Below are 15,944 nucleotides of genomic sequence, written 5' to 3'. Positions count from 1 at the left end.
AATGAGGCCAGGAAGGTAGGTGGGGCCAGCTTGTGAAGGACCTTGAAGTCAAGTTTAGGTGTGTGGATTATATCGAAAGCCAAGGAAAAGTTTTAAGCAGGGGTTGCATCTTAGATCAAATGGGAATGTCCATAAGGGAGAGATGGAGTCTGTACACAAATACAGGAAGTACCAAGTTGTGTAAGTCCAGACTGGGGATGGTGAGGGCCTGACAGAAGGCAATGAGGCAATTAGAGATTGGAGCCTGGGACTACAGAATCATGGTCTCTGTGGGAGTCTAGGCCATGGTGGGTGGAGGTCAGGCCGTAAAGTCCCCAGGCCATGTCACCCAGTCTCCCCTGAACACTGAGACCAGCACTTCTATGCTGCAGTTTCATCTTCCCAGGCTCCACAGTACATCCCATGGCTGGCCTTTCTCCTGCTGGGAGAGAGATTTCAGCAGAGGCGGCAGCAGAGCAGTACCCACAGAAATCTTCAGTCCAGCTGAGGAGGGATGGAGACAAGAAGAAGCATGCCAGAGAGGACACCAGTGTATCTCTGGCCAGCTGAGGGACTCAAGGACATTTAAGGACTTTCAGAAGAGCTTCAGCCAACTTACCACTGCTCCTTAGCGTGAAGGCAGAGCCCTGGGGGGGACACTTTTTGTCCATCTTGCTTTCCTTCTCTTTTCCCATCAAATTCCACTGGGCCGGAGGACAAGGAGTTTCCTCAGTAGCTAAGCTGGTCTTTTGGGAGCTTGCTACCCACAAAGAGTAATCAGTAGAAGCAGCAAAACCTAAGGATTATGTGGTAATCATTATTCTGTGGGGCAGAATAAAGACTCCCCCTCCCCCATCAAGGATGTCCACATCCTAATCCACAGTACCTGCAATGTATCCTACAAGGCAAAAGGGACTTTGCAGATGTGATTAGAGACCTTGAGTTGGGAGATAATCCTGGATTATCTGGATGGGCTCAATGTAATCAACAAGGGTCCTAGGGAGGCCGAATGTAGTTTGGAGTGATGCCATGTGAAAGGGACTCAACCCACCATTCACTGCTGGCTTTGAAGATGGAGGAAGAAAGCCACAAGCCAAGGAATATGGGCAGCCTCTAAGAGCTGGCAGAGGTAAGGAAACAGATTATCCCTTAAAGCTTCCAGAAAGGAATGCAGCCTTGACACCACCTTGATTTCAGCCCAGTGAGACCCGTCAGACTTCCAGCCAACGAACTGTAATAATAAATATGTTGTTTTGAGCTGCTAAGTCTGTGATAGTTATGGCAGTGATCGGAAACAAAGCAGATCGTAAGGCTGGCTCCTTGTCACTCAGCTCTTGAGTCAGTTGACTTGGAGAGAGACCTCCTTTGGCCATTCTACCCACCGTCATCCTTTCTTCACTCTCCAGTCACTGGCACTTTGCCATTTCATCCAGTGTTGTTTGGTAGTTGTGATGCTTGTGTTGACCTGATTTCCAGCCTTCCCCCCTATAGTGTAAGCTCCATGAGAGCAGGCACCTTGGTTATTTGTCCATCACTGTATCCCTAGTACGAAGAAAAGCGCCTACACACAATGGAAACTCCACAAGTGTTTGATGGGTAGATGGGTGGATGAATGAATATGATGGTGCACTGCTATGTCATGGGCACACTAATGACATGAAACCTGTTGAGGCAGAATGCTCAGTGGTTATTTACCATAGTTATGACCTGCAAAGGCTCAACCAAAACATACACACTCTCCTTTTACACCCTACAGGATGACTAATCAGTCACACCTCTTCAAAGGCTCTTATTAAGTCTTTAGCGGTCTCAGACTGTTGCTGCTATAAGCCTCCTAGAAGTATTTATGCAGAGTAAAACATAAATTTCCTCTGCCAAACAGAATCAGAGGGGAATATATGAGATCATCCATGAGTACATATGGTAACTGTTCCCTCTAGGTCAAATACTCTGGGAAGAAAGGCCAAGCTGGTTTTAGAAAAAGTATTGGCTTCTCAGACTTTTTTCAGTATTTTCTAGCTCCACAATATGTTTCTCCAGGAAATGAGTTGCCAATCCAGTCCAGGATTGCAAACAAAACCCAGGGAAGACTGGCTGAGCTAAGGCTGCTGTCTGACTGTGGAGTAGAGGCAACAAGAAAAGAGGAGGCAGAAGTTGGGGCAGGGAGTTTGAGGGAAAGATGCATCAAGATCTAATTTGAGGAAAAAAAAAAAAGATCTGATTTGACTGCTATACTTGCAAATTCGATCAAGACACCCCTGGGGCACCCAGCATGAGAATAGGGTAACATGGACAAAATGTTGTTTATTGAATCCATTTTGGAAACAGACAACATGAAAGGTTTCTGTGAGCTCACTTGAAGAGTCATGATTGCTTCCTGTCATCAAATGTCAACCATAAGAAAATCCTAGCATAAATAATGAAAATGAATCTAGGAGAGAAAAAGTGGTTAAGGACACCTCAGCTCTCACTCCAATAGCTCTCTGATAGCTAACATGACCATAAACATCAATAAAATTTTTTATAGGTACAGTCTATTTACTGCACAAATATCAAATGTGTACATCGATGGTAAAAAGTTGTAAACTGGCTAACAGTCATCAGCACTTAAGTACACTGGGTCTATACTGACACTTCCATTCTCATTTTAAGAGCTTATATATTTAATTGATGACTGCTCTCCTCATCAGGGACATTTAAGATATGGAAAAGGCATTTATATACACACGCACGCATGCACATATGCTTAACCTTACAAACTGAAAAAGTAAGCCCAAGCATGATTAATTAATTACTTTGCCTGGATCAATAAATACTAGTCTCAAATGTTAAGTGTACTAATAAGGACAGAAGCTATCAGTTACATAAATTATCATGTTGCTACCTACTGATGCTCCATTTGCTAATGCATGTTAGTCAGTCTGTAGACTTTATCCAACACATACATAGAGATTATTTTTTTGTTTGTTTGAAACTCTCAGCAGATCAGCAGATCTCTTTTGGACATTTCTCTCCCATCACTCTTAGGATGAAAATGAAATAACTCTTAAAATAAAATTTCTAAATTCCCAGCCATCAAGAGCACAATTCTAATCAATCATATTTCAAATCTTCACTCAGAAGGGAAATGCCATCAAGAGTTACATAATGAGAAGGTCTCATCACCGTGGCAGCTTAGACTGATCTTCACCTTCTCCCAGCACCCTCTTGCCATATTGGAAGCCAAGGTGGCTCATCTCTTTGAGATTTCATAAATACCAACAGGAAGGGTCAGAGGGGGAGCCTTGTCTTTTTTTCTGGAGCTGTTATCAGTGAGACCGACAACTACAAAGAGGAGGATAGGGATTCAAGGTGGATAAAAGCCCCCAGACCTGGAGGGAGCAGTAGAAGGATGCAGCACCGTGCCAAGGCCTGCTGCCCCCAAGTGCTTCACATGCTAGAAATTCTCAGCATTTCTTTAACCACAGAGAATAAACATCCTTCCAAAAGGTCCTGCCCACATCTCCCCTCTCTCCCAGCACTGTAAAGCATGGAAACATTCCATTTTCCATGCTTCCTGGAGAATCCTCTGCCTATGAGGCAAACTGGGTCTCCCCACCCCAATGCAGCTTTTCCTAGAAACCATGAAATTTACGAATTTACACAAGCCATTGTGGGTTCAAGTCCAGCTGCTTCTAGAGCTCTGTGACCTAACAGCCCTGCCCACCATGGATCTCTTTATCCTGAACCACTTCCAGTCTCTTTTCCCAGGAGCTCTGCTTGTGTTTTTAGTGTGAAGACTCACCCCACTGAAAATGAACAGTGCAAGATCCTATGTGCAAAATTTGCAAACATTTTTTTTTTTAAACGATACACATTTTAAAAATTCAAGTCAAATCCAGATAGATAGATACAGGCCAGTTGGTTGGTATCAGCTGGCCCCTCATACCCACCATAGGAAAGCATGATGAGAAAGTCCGTTTCTGAAATGAGAGAGACAAGAGGCACCAGCTTCTTATCTGGGGGTGAGTTCCTTGAGCTTGAGAGGAAGCCTGAGAGGGAAATGCTAAGGCTCAATGAAAGACAGGGCAGCTCCAGCCTCGCGGCCCTCCTGGGTCAAAAGCCAAAGGCCTCTGTGCAAGCAGCACATAGGATCTGGATGTAGGTTGAGGATAGATCCTCACCCACCAGTGGGGTAACTTTCCCAGCAATTCTGAAACTAAAATAAGGAAGGCACATTCCCAGAGCCCTGCTGAGTAGGGGCTTCAGGCTATTTTCACTCTACACAAAATGGGGGAGAGGAGTTCCCTCTCCACTAATTTTTCACCCATAAACCTCCACATCACTAGGAACCTAAAGGGGAACTCCAAAGGCCAACACATCCTTGGTGGTTATATGTGTTGTCCTGACAACCTCCTGCTCCAGAAATGCCAGGAGCATTGGATATGTCATTGGGAGCATCAGGCAGTCCAACATCGGAGGGAGAAAGGCCCAGAGATGAGGATCTGAGTCAGGCTGGCAAGGCTGGAGTCAGAAAGTGACCATTAGGCAACTGGTCACTACAATTGGTGGCTACAAAGAAGTGGTCACAGTCACCAAAATAAAGAGGTTTACAACAACGGTTTCCCCTTAGGTCATTTTGACCAGGACAGTACCCTAAAGGAAATAAGGCAGCATCGCATAAAGCAAGAGCCCCCCTCAGTAATCCACGGAGATGGAGGGGTCCTCATCCTGGTTGCAAAACAGGAGATGGAAAGGCCCAGGGGTGGCGACTCAGCTGAGGGAAGCACAGTTCAGCTCCGAGCCCTCCTGGCTGCCCCTGGCCCCCTCCTCCAGTCCGTCAGGGTTGTCAGTGATGTTGGGCTCACTGGAGCACTGCCGGTGGGGCGGGGGGAAGCTGGGTGGCAGGAGCAGGCACTTGTTCTCACTGCTGGCCTCCTCCCCCAGGCCCGAGTGCATCATGGTGGCCATGGCCAGCAGCTGGATGTCCGAGTGGGCATTGGCCACCGTGTGCCGCCGCACGCTGCCACACTTCTCCAGGTAGGCTTCCCCCTCCTGCTCTGTCAGTGGGGTCAAGACCATCTCATTCAGTGGCCGGCTGACTGCGGTTATCGGGGAGGCATAGTTCAGGACAGTCACCTTGGGCCGGACCCTGGAGTGCCGCCTGGCTGCAAGAGAAAAATCAGCAAAGACTGTTATTGGGGAGGGGGTATTGGTGCTTAAAAGCTCCTAATCCAACTGGGGGAAAAGAACAAGGTGCTCAACCTTTAGGAGCAGCTCTTAGGTGCAGCCCTGCCACAATGCAAGGGAGGAATCTGGTGATACCTAAATGTTTCTCTTGCAACTTTACCTGTTTATGCCAGATCCTGCCTGTAACCAACCCTACCCCACATATTAGGTGGTCACCAACAGACTTTCCTTGACAGATAAGAGTCAAGGGAATCTGGTGTGTTTTTCAGCTGCTGCCTGAGCTTCATTGGGTTTGCCCTAAAATTCCCTTTCAATCAATGTCCTCTGAGGACCTGAGCATTCCAAAAGAAGCACCCTGGCTTCCTGCAGGAGTGGCCTCTCCCATGCCAACAGGTGATATAAAAGAGTCTTCCTAAGCTGAAATCCAGAGGAAGAGATAACTGGGGAGTTACCTCAGTTGTCAAACCCAAGGTAGCAGGACTATCTTGCAAATCATACAGAACCACGACTATCAATGGCCCTCATCTCCTGCCAGGTGAAGGGTCTCAGACCTATGTTCTGTTCAAGTCAATTCTCCTGGACTCAAACAGCCTTTAGCATCATCAAAGAACAGGCTAGGTTCCATGGATCACCCCAAGGAGGCAGACACAGGAAGGCTGGATACTAATTATAAAACTGCTGCTTTTTGTTTTTTTTTTGAGACAGTTTTGCTCTTGTTACCCAGGCTGGAGTGCAGTGGTGTGATCTCAGCTCACTGCAACCTCCGCTTCCCAGGTTCAAGTGATTCTCCCACCTCAGCCTCCTGAGTTGCTGGGACTACAGGCGCCCACCACCATGCCCAGCTAATTTTTGTATTTTTACTAGAGACGGGGTTTCACCATGTTGGCCAGGGTGGTCCTGAACTCCTGACCTCAGGTGATCCACCCGCCTCAGCCTCCCAAAGTGCTGGGATTAAAGGTGTGAGCCACCACGTCCGGCCTAAACTGCTGCTTTTGAATTCTCATCATGTTCCAAAAACTGTGCTAAACCTAGACATTTTATCTTTTGAATCCCCCCCAAAACTGAACCTAAGTCATGGTATTGTATCAGTTTCCACTTTCCAGATGAGAAAACTGAGTCTCAGAGAGGGAATAGCTTACCCAAGGTCATATAGATAGAAGGTAGTTTAAGCTGGGACTCAAACAAGGTCTGTCTCTCTCCAGACCCTTGCTCTTCTAGCTGCCCATCCAAGGCCCACAGATAACTAGGGTAGGTGAAATACCTTAAGGGAAGGATGAGCCAAGTGGAGGGGCTTCAAGGGCCAGAAAAAGCATGCCCATCTGGAGATAGGAAACTTGCCTGGAGGATGTACACTGGAGATGGACCTTTAGGATGGCAGAACTCCCAGAAGCGGTAAAGGGGTGACAGAGTTCTGAGCAATGGCAGCAGCCTGAGAAAGCTGCTGAGACAGGTGCACCATCAGGTCACAGCCTGGCTGGAACAGACTCCAGGAGAGGTGCCCCGGCAGGCAGATGGAAGCACCTGTGGTACCAGGTCACAGCACAGCTGCGGGGACGCAGTTAACATCGAAGGTCATAGGGCAAGATGGACTGTGCTCAGGAAGCTTCCTTGGGCAGAAGTGTGGCAGAATGGGCTGGAGCCAGCGAGGCCAGCAGCGAGGAAAGCCAGGGAGAAGGCTCAGGTATTATATTCCATAATAAATAGGGATCGCATGTGAAAAAAGGTAATGCTAACATCAGTGTCAAAGTGAGAGGTGATCAGGAAAGGAAGTGGAGTTGTGGTGATGACAGTAAGGTGAGGATGACCGCTAGAGACACCACAGAGATACTACAGAGATACTACAGAACCCCACAACTAAGAGATCATGGGAGCGGGGCAGGGAGGAGGAGCTGTGGGACAGAACAAAGGAACGGCAGACTTGGGGGAGGGGCGAAGGATGGGGAGGATGCAGAGGAGGCAGCTTGTGAGACCCAGCGCCGGGTCCTGGCCACATCGCGTCTGAGATGCTGAAGGGGCAACCTCCACCGGCTGACAGACATGCAGTTTTGAGCTGGGAAAAGAAGTTTCTATCTAAAGACAGAAATTTGGTCATTTTCAAATAATATTTAAGGACAGTGAGAAATGTTGATAATATTTGGTGACAAAAGCAGAATATAAACAACAGTATTATATGCATTTTGTCCCTTTTTAAGCAAAACTGGGGTTATACTGGGTGTTGTACTCACCCACCACACCTGTGTATAAAAACTGGGAAATGCTACATCAAAATATCTAGTTATCATCTCTGGGCAAAGGTATTACCCGGTGATTTTTAAAATTTCATTATCTTTTTATTGATACGTCTTTAAAATTTTCATTCCCTATGTGGGCATTTTACGACAAGAAGAAAACATTTTAGGATATGAAAAATCAAAGTCCTCTGGAACTTAGTAATGGCTGGGGCCCTCCGAGTAAATGTGACCTCTCTGAAAATGAAGATGGGGTAAAGGACTACATTATTCCCGTGTGTACACCTATGCTGGGTGGATAAAATGAGAGGGGCTAACAGCACCACTTTCAGAGGGGCTAAAGTATTAACAGCTAACACACAGGATAGCACTTAAGAATGTTCGGTGCTGATCTGAGCATCTTGTATCTGTGAATAATTAAATCCTCTCAACCCAATGAGCTGGGTACTGCTATCACCACTGCCACCTTACAGATGGGGAAACTAAAGCACAGAGAGGTTAAATAACTTGTTCAACATTGCAAAGAAGAGGCAAAGCTGGGACTGGAGCACAGATGGCAGCCTCCAAAAACCGGGTAAGCCCCATTGCCTTTCCAGAAGGAAGGAAACCCTAGGGTGGGTCAGAGAGGCAGGAGAAGAACCAAAAAACTCAGATAACTGAAGCCTCGGGAGTAGAGTCCCAAGAGAGGAAGCAAATCTGACAGCAGCACCCCAGCTCCCAGGGCCTCTGCTCTCCCACCTTCACATGGGCTGCGCTAGGGCAGAAACATGCACAGAGTTTGGAATAGAGTAAGCACCATGACAAGGCTGGGTCCCTTGGTCCCAGAGAAGTCCCCCAACTCATGCTCCTCTTGAGGCAGTGCTGCCTCCTCTGCCACCTAGGCCTGGTATCATGTCACGAGCTGAGCGGCTCTGGACCTGAGAGAGGCAGAGGCGTGGGATGGTCCAGCCACTGCAACCGGTCTGGCCTGGGAGAGAGTAAATTTGAAGGCACGGCCATGGGAGAAACACAGCTTCAAAGGGCTGGGGGATGGGTGGATTCTGTTCTGGGCCTCCTCTTCTTTTCAGCCTCCTTTTCTGCCAGAGCACACCTCTTCCCAGCTTCCCAGTCACATACACCATTTCACCTGTCTCTGCCTTCCACAGTGCCCATATCTCTGACACCCTGAAGACCCAAGAGAAAGGTGTTCCCTCTGCCAGCCAGGCAGGACAATGCTGTGGGGAGAAAGGGAGTGGGGCCCAATGGTATCAGTATTTCCACCACACTTGGACAGGAGGGGGAACACCCCACTTTCCAAGAGGAAAGCAAACCATGCTGTTCACAGACTGGCCCATGGGGACACGTGGCTCATGCTGCTTTAGTTTACTCTCTGCTCTTCCAGTGGATCTGGAGGGCCCTAGACACGTGTGTCAGCCACTTCTAGAGCCAATGCTCCTGGAAGGAGATCACAGCAAGACCTGCCTACATCCATCTGCAAAGCTCACAGCAGCTCCCGTCATCGGACTGTTGTGTGTGTGTATAAATAATGAAGAGAATGAAATTCTAAACCTTTGGACTAAATCTTGAGTCTACTGGCTCAGAAGCCCAAGGGGCCTATTTGGTGGTGACAATAACAATTTTTCAAAATCAAAGGATATTACATAGAATTTAGAGTGTAGAGTGTGTTCCCACCCATGATCTCGCTGTTTAGTCCCAATCTCCCTCCAAAACAGAGTTGTTCTTAGTATGCCCACTGCACAGATGAGGAAGACTGAGGCTCAGCCCCGTTTCTCTTGGGTTCTAGATGGCAGTGCCCAGACTTTCCCCACTACACGCTGCTGTGTCTCAGGTGACTGCTGCTGCCCTCAGAAGACATGTTCCTTGAAGCAGCCCACCCACTGAAGTCAAGTAATAGCAAACACTGCCCCCCAGCAGATGCTACACAAGAAGCTGACACTGGCGCCCCTCTTTGGAGATAAGAGACAAAACGCCAAGGAGCAACCAAGAATACACCAGGCATTGGCAGCGGTTCTTTCTGAAGCATGGATGCTCGTACTCTCCAAGTTACACATTTCTATAATGTTCCCACATTCTTATAATACCTGTATTACTTTTATGATCTCCAAAATCAATAACTATAAAACAGAAGCACCAGAAGAGTTCAGAGCAGCAAGGATCCCATTGAAAAACTGTCCTTAAAAAAAATGCCCTTGAGAACAATTCATTTCTCTCTCACTGCTGATAGAAGTACACACTTCAGATTGCTGTTGGGAAACCCATGTGGGGACCTGAACCCTACAACCAGTCTAGCAGGAGACAGGACGAGACCTGTTTAGGGAGCATTTGCTTCATGCAGATGTCTGGGCCTCTGAGACTGGGTACCTACCTGCCAGGAGGGGTTTGTGCAAAGGGGAGGGTCAAAGAGGTAGACAGTAGTGACATTATTTCTAATGTTGCTAGAGATTTCGATGTTTTGTTTTGTTTTTTGTTTTGTTTTTTTTTTTTTTGAGACGGAGTCTCACTCTGTTGCCCAGGCTGGAGTGCAGTGGCGCGAACTTGGCTCACTACAAGCGCTGCCTACTGGGTTCACGCCATTCTCCTGCCTCAGCCTCCAGAGTAGCTGGGACTACAGGTGCCCACCACCACACCCAGCTAATTTTTTGTATTTTTAGCAGAGACAGGGTTTCACCGTGTTAGCCAGGATGGTCTCGAATTCCTGACCTCATGATCTGCCTGCCTTGGCCTCCCAAAGTGCTGGGATTACAGGCATGAGCCACTGTGCCCGGCCTCGATAATGTTTTATAAGAGTATGGGAGACTCCTCTCTTTGGGGAAGGGGTATCTGGAAAGATACAGTATTAATGTTAGATTTTATAACATGGCTGAAACTTGGAAGAAAGGCTGGGACCAGAGAAGACAGAGGGTAAATCGAGAGAACAGGAAATCAACTTGCTTGGCAGACACATGCAGCATCTTTGTAGGAAATGAGAATTCGTCAGATGATTTCCGCAGGTCCCAGCCCACTGGGATGAGCCAGGGAAAGGTGTCTCCAGTGATCCTTGGAGGGCCCAGGCAGCAAATGGACAAGAGAAGCCACTCTGGCTGCTCACAGGCCAAGAGCTGGAGCCAGAGGGGGGCTGCCCTGGAGGAGGAGACCACAACACCACCTGTCCCCACCTTCAACAAACACTACTACCTGTACATGCAAAATGCTGCACTAGCTGCAGAGAAGAAAAGAAACATAAATCTGATGTGGGGCCCCCAACAGGGGCTTGAGCCCAGCACACTTGTGTACCTCCATGCATGTATGTTCACATGTCAGGGGCACGAGTTCTTAGGAGGAACTATTTACTAAGCATCCATGATATGCTAGGTACTGTACCAAAAAGGAGGTGCTCCACTGATGGCTTCTAACCACTTCGCAGAAGAACCTGAAGTTGAGATGTGGAATAACAACAGTCATAGTTAGTGATGAAACCAGGACTCAAACCCAGAGCTGACAGCACAGGCCCAGCTTGTGACCCACATACACAAATAACTGTTAGAACAGGTCAGTGTGGCAAATGTCAGGTCAGAGATAGAGACGACAGCACCCTGGAAATTCAGAGGAGAAGGAAGAGAAGTCACAAAGCCTATTTCAGATGGGCTGTGCTTCTCTAGGCTTGACTTACAGACTGAACCACTCACTCACAGGAGAGGTCTGTGCCAGGTCCTGGGATACAAAATCCCTGCTCTCAACGAGCAAGCTCAGTGTAAGGGAGAGGCTGAGAAATAGGACATGGCAATACAGCAAGGCAAGGCCAAGGATGTGGTTTGGGATCCAGGGGAGGGATTGGGGAGGTACACACAACCTCCCCGGGGAGTGATTCCACGGACGCCAGGCCACCTTTAGCTGGGCGTCCATAACATAGCAGGCAGCTCTACCTGGCCCTTACCTGAGACAGGGCAGCTTCTTCCTCCTGCTGATCCTGAATGGAAGGACAGGGCCTCTGTGCTCAGCCCTCTGTGGCTCAGAAGTTGCTCCAGGCCACACAGCTGAGCCCCAGCTCTCGTGGTTTCCAAGGCCCTGCTCTCTCCACAGCTGCCTCAGCCTCTCTCCCCCTGCTGATGACTCACAGGAGAGGCTACAGCTCTTCCTTCTACTTTCTGGGTGGAATGTTTTCATTCCCAAGATTGGGTGTGGGCAGAGCCAGGACCACAGGGACCGCAAGGCTGTGTTGAGTCCCCCGGGCAGACAGCGTTTCCTTGCTAAGTTCCCGCCAGACTCCAGAGCCAAGCCTCAGACAAGTGCGTCAGCTGTGTCCCCACTGGGAGGTCAGGCCTGCTGGGCCCCTTGGGAGGCCTTAAAACTGAACGCCAGGCCCGGGGCTGGCAGACAGCGACCGACACTCTTGCTTCTTGTTCTCCTCCCCAATCTTTTTCTTCTCTGCTCCCGGGAAGGCAGGGCCCTGTCACCCAGGGAAGGGAATCTCCCACTAAGGGACTGATTACCCTGTGGGTACCCCCTGGGGCTCCAAACCAGCCCTTCCCTTGCAGTGGTGCCCTTTTAGCGGGAAGAGGGCCGGGTCCTGCCATTTCAGCTGGCATCTCCAGGCCACCTCTGCCTCCTCCTCTTCCCTTTCACACGGGGTGAGGCCAAGGGGAGGCTTTATTCCCTCCTCACTCACCAGGAGCCCTGCTGAACACTGGCATTCACTGGCATTCATCCCCTGCACCGGAGCCAGCAAGAGCAGCTCCTTTCAAACCCCCAGAGAGATGCAAAGCCTGGATAAGGCCGTCCTCGGGTCCTTTGTTGGGGACTTGGTTCCCAGGCTTTTGATCTCCCAGGCTCCCTGGCCAGGCCCCACCGGAGCGACCGCCATAATAAGGCCATTGTGACCCCAGCACACCAAGCCCGTGGTGGGTGTCCCTCTCCAGGCTGGCACCTGAAAGCCGTGAATGCTGGCTTGTCACGCAGAGAAGCTACAGTATCCTGAAGGAGAAGGGCCCTCCCCCAGGCAGACACAATGGAGGGAGGCCTGTGGGAGGCCAGGGCCTTTGTGTGGGAGAAGTCGAGCGTGCTGCTGAGTGTGTGCTCGGGAGGGCCCTGCAAACATCAGGGAAACAGCCTGGAGACTTCGGGGACTTGAAAGATGGGGCAAAGGCCAGCCTCTGAGGAGTCGGCCTTTTAAAAAAAAGTTTCACTATCCTCTTCCTCCTCCCTCAGCAACTCCCACTGTTGCAGAAAAGTGGCTGCTTTGGAGAGAGCGGCACGTTCTCTCTCACTCTCATCGTGGGCCTCTGACCTATGCGTACCCAGGGGTGAGGCCTGGCTGGCAGGAAGGGACACCTCCGGAGAATCCTCGTGCAGTCAAACACAGGCGCGGGCGCGTGGGTGCAGTGCGGAGCCCCGGGAATAAACCGCTTCTCTGGCTCTGGTCACCTACCCTGCGGGTGACCTGGAGACTGAAAGCACAACAGTACCTTGGAGGATGGAATGAGTTACGCGCCAAAACCCTGGTCAGTAATCCAGCGTGAGTGGTGGCTTCTGAAGGGATGAGTGGCCCCCACACCCTCCGCTGCCTACGACCACGCCTACCTATCCTCCGGCCCAAGTGAGCCACGGCAAAGCCCTCCCATAGGTAAAGGGGTTTATCACCCCCAACCCAACTCCTTAGTTTTTACTTCAGCCAGCGATCTCAATGCTCTCCTCCCACAGGCAAAATAAACCTTTTACTAAGGGGTAGACGGAGGCCCTGAGAGACCTCTCTTTATCTGGAAAGCAGTGTCCTCAGTCAGGATGGGCACTGCTGTGACCATTTTAGCTTCTTAGTATCCAGAGACATGGGGTGAAATGTCTGGCTTAGGATCCCTCTTGGGCTAAGGAACACCTCCTGGGCTGTCCCCTAATAAAGTCACCTCCTCAAAGTTAGCAGCGGTCAGTGGGGGTGGGGGTGGCGGTAGAGCATGTGGGGCAGCTGATAAAGTATCCACAGCTTGAGGCATTGGAATCCTGGCTCCATGTTACCTTAATCCTCACTTGCTTCCCCTGTAAACCTGGGAACAGCAGTGTCTGCTCCATGGTCCAGCATCCAGCACCCCCAGCACCATACCCAGGACGAGGTCTGTGTCCAGTAGCTCCCCTTGCCATCAGCTTCCTTGCAACTCTGAAGCCCTTTCAGTTCCTCTAACGCTCCTTCCTCTTGCTCACCTCCTGTCCTCCAAACCCTCCCAAGCTCCTCCCCTTGGCCTGGGGATAGTCATCCCTCTCTGTTTACTCAGCTAACTTATATTCATCCTGCAGGTCCCATCACAGACATCATTACTTCCTCCAGGTAGTCTTCCCTGATTCCCTAGTCAAGATGAAATCCCTGTGCCCTGGGACCCGTGGCCCCTGTACTTTCCCCCTCAGAACATGTGTACACTGATGAGACACTGCCTTGTTTGTGACTTCTTCCCTGGGCTGTGTGCTCTGGAGGGCAGGGATGGGTTGGCTTCATTTACAGATATAGCTATAGCACCTCCCAGTGTGCCAGGACAGGGTCTTAGTACACATTTGCTGAAATGATAATTTAAAATTAACCAAAAGAGGGTCACATCCTTCCCTCCCCGCCCCTAGTGCGACAACTCTCTAGAGGCAGGGACTGTCCTAGGTACAAGAATAAAACCTTGAGTCTTTGCTTTATAATTTGGCAAAAGTGTGCATTATTCTTATTTTAGCTAGAAAGCTAAAGCTATCCCCTCTTAGAGTGAGTCCTCACTGAACAAACTTCCCAATTGACTCTTGTTCCTGGGATAGGACACCAAAATATGCCACCACAAAATATGCCTCTTGGGCATAAGGATTTATGAACTGAAGGCAGTTAAGAAGCAGATACAGGAAGCTCTCTGTCCTCCCTCTATTTGCTTAAAGGCAGGATATAGATGTATAAAGACAAACGGTATCCCATCCCACTTCTACCAGGGAGAGCAAAGGTTAACCACTGAAGACAATTTTAGACCCTTATCAGCCAGCAATGCCAACAGAGAAACCTACATGAACAAGCCTCACTAACCAGCCCTTATCTGCCATCTATTTCCCTTGCCACAAGCTGCCACCCCTGAAGACTCAAAGTTGTTTTTCTTTGCCTTATCACTTCTCTAGAAATTTATTTTTTGTTGTTGAAGATGCTATATAAGCTGGAATTCAAAGCCATGTATTTAAGAACTACTGACTCCCTGGGTGTGACCCATGTATGTATGAAACATACAGTTTTAATAAGCTGCTGTTTGTTTTTCTCCTGTTAATGTGTTACAGGGTTCTGTTCCAACTAAGAGCTTAGGAGAGTTGGAAGAAAAACTGTTTTTCTTCCTCTACACTGGCATTAGGCCCAAACAATGGTAGCGTTCCTGCCATGGCCCAGCTAACCTGCTGACGTCCTGACAGCTCCCTGGATGCCCCAGTCCCCCAAAATTCAGTGAGCTGAGCCAGCAGGAAGGTGGACTCCAGGGAGACCGCAGCAACATGGCACCCCAGCTCAGAGTGGGGCTGCAGAAGACTGTTTTCCTTCAGTGTCATTGAAACTCTGGCCCATTCCAGCTCCTGGGAGGAATGAGTGAGGAAGGGAGGGAGGAAGGAGAAGAACCAGCAGGCAGCAGGCTGGGGCCAGCACCCTCCGATCTGTGGTGGCTGTGGTTAAGCTGGTGTCTCCAGAAAAACATGAGCAGGGTGGTGAAAACTGCCAGCTGGCCCTGGCTCTTGCTGTGGTAGAGAGGCCCAGGAAGGGGCAGGAACCTCACTGGAGGACGCTCCTTTCTTTGAAGCTCAACTATTACAACTCCATTAAAGTGAGAAGAGGGGGCATCAGGTTCCCAATTTGAGTAATCCATTTCTGCCTCTGCATCTCTCCATGGGTGCTGGCTCCCCTGGCCCTGAAGTACCGTTGCTGCCATCATCTAACATTTTTTGAGTGCCTACTATACGCCAGGCACCATTCCTGGGGACAGAACAATGAATAAAACATTTCTGCATTTTGAGCGTTTATATTTCAGACAATAACTGGGTTTTTTATTATTATAATTATTGGAAGCCTTATCATACAGCTATTTCTACAAAGACTGGTCTGAGAGCTATTTTGTATTATAGAGATATTTGTACTGAACCCATCTAGACTGCAGTGTCACTGAGAGAAGGAACAGATCTGATTCATCTCCAGATTTTCCATGGTGCCTGGTACAGAGCCTGACACTCACTGATGCTAGGTTTACAGCCATCAAAAAAAGGCCCCAACAGGATTTGTCCCCAAATGCAAGAGCCCCTTTCCTTGCCATGTGGTGGTACCTACAGAAATGGAGTGGGAGACAGCAACTCGATAACATCTGGCCATGCATACAAGTTGGCCTGACATTTCCAGTTGGTTTCAAAGGGAAATCTATCTCAGGAGGTTTCTCTACTCAACCAGAGGGAGGGTGTAACAAAGCACAGTTTCTGGTGTCAGATACAGAAAGATTAATGTCCTAGGCGCACCAAAATGATCAAAGCCACTGATCAAAGATGTGGATCAGACAAGCACCACCGCAAAGGCACAGTATCGGTCCTTGGGGAGGAATCATCAAGGGGGAGAAGGTTACT

General features: G+C 49.1%; 1 protein-coding gene across 4 annotated transcripts in view, besides 1 other annotated feature; it reads right to left on the bottom strand.

The window, feature by feature from the left end:
• Positions 1–2,263: 2,263 nt before the first annotated feature.
• The window catches only part of PRR5L (proline rich 5 like), a 168,917-nt gene continuing 155,236 nt past the window's right edge, over positions 2,264–15,944 (bottom strand). For all 4 annotated transcript variants that reach the window (NM_001160167.2, NM_024841.5, NM_001160168.2 and 1 more), the window contains one exon: positions 2,264–5,126. In NM_001160167.2, coding sequence (NP_001153639.1) covers positions 4,732–5,126 — 395 coding nt within the window. In that variant the 3' untranslated portion in view covers positions 2,264–4,731. The remainder of the gene's footprint in view (positions 5,127–15,944) is intronic.
• Positions 11,693–12,217: an enhancer, noted in NCBI's record as "H3K27ac-H3K4me1 hESC enhancer chr11:36476801-36477325 (GRCh37/hg19 assembly coordinates)". NCBI's record gives its function as "activates a minimal SCP1, AML or CMV promoter by ChIP-STARR-seq in primed H9 embryonic stem cells {active_cell/tissue: H9 hESC(primed)}" and the evidence as "EXISTENCE:reporter gene assay evidence [ECO:0000049][PMID:30033119]".

The sequence above is a fragment of the Homo sapiens genome, chromosome 11 (assembly GCF_000001405.40).
Source record: "Homo sapiens chromosome 11, GRCh38.p14 Primary Assembly".
NCBI lineage: Eukaryota > Metazoa > Chordata > Mammalia > Primates > Hominidae > Homo > Homo sapiens.
The sequence above is the reverse complement of the archived record's forward strand: the minus strand, read 5'-3'. Positions and strand labels throughout refer to the sequence as shown.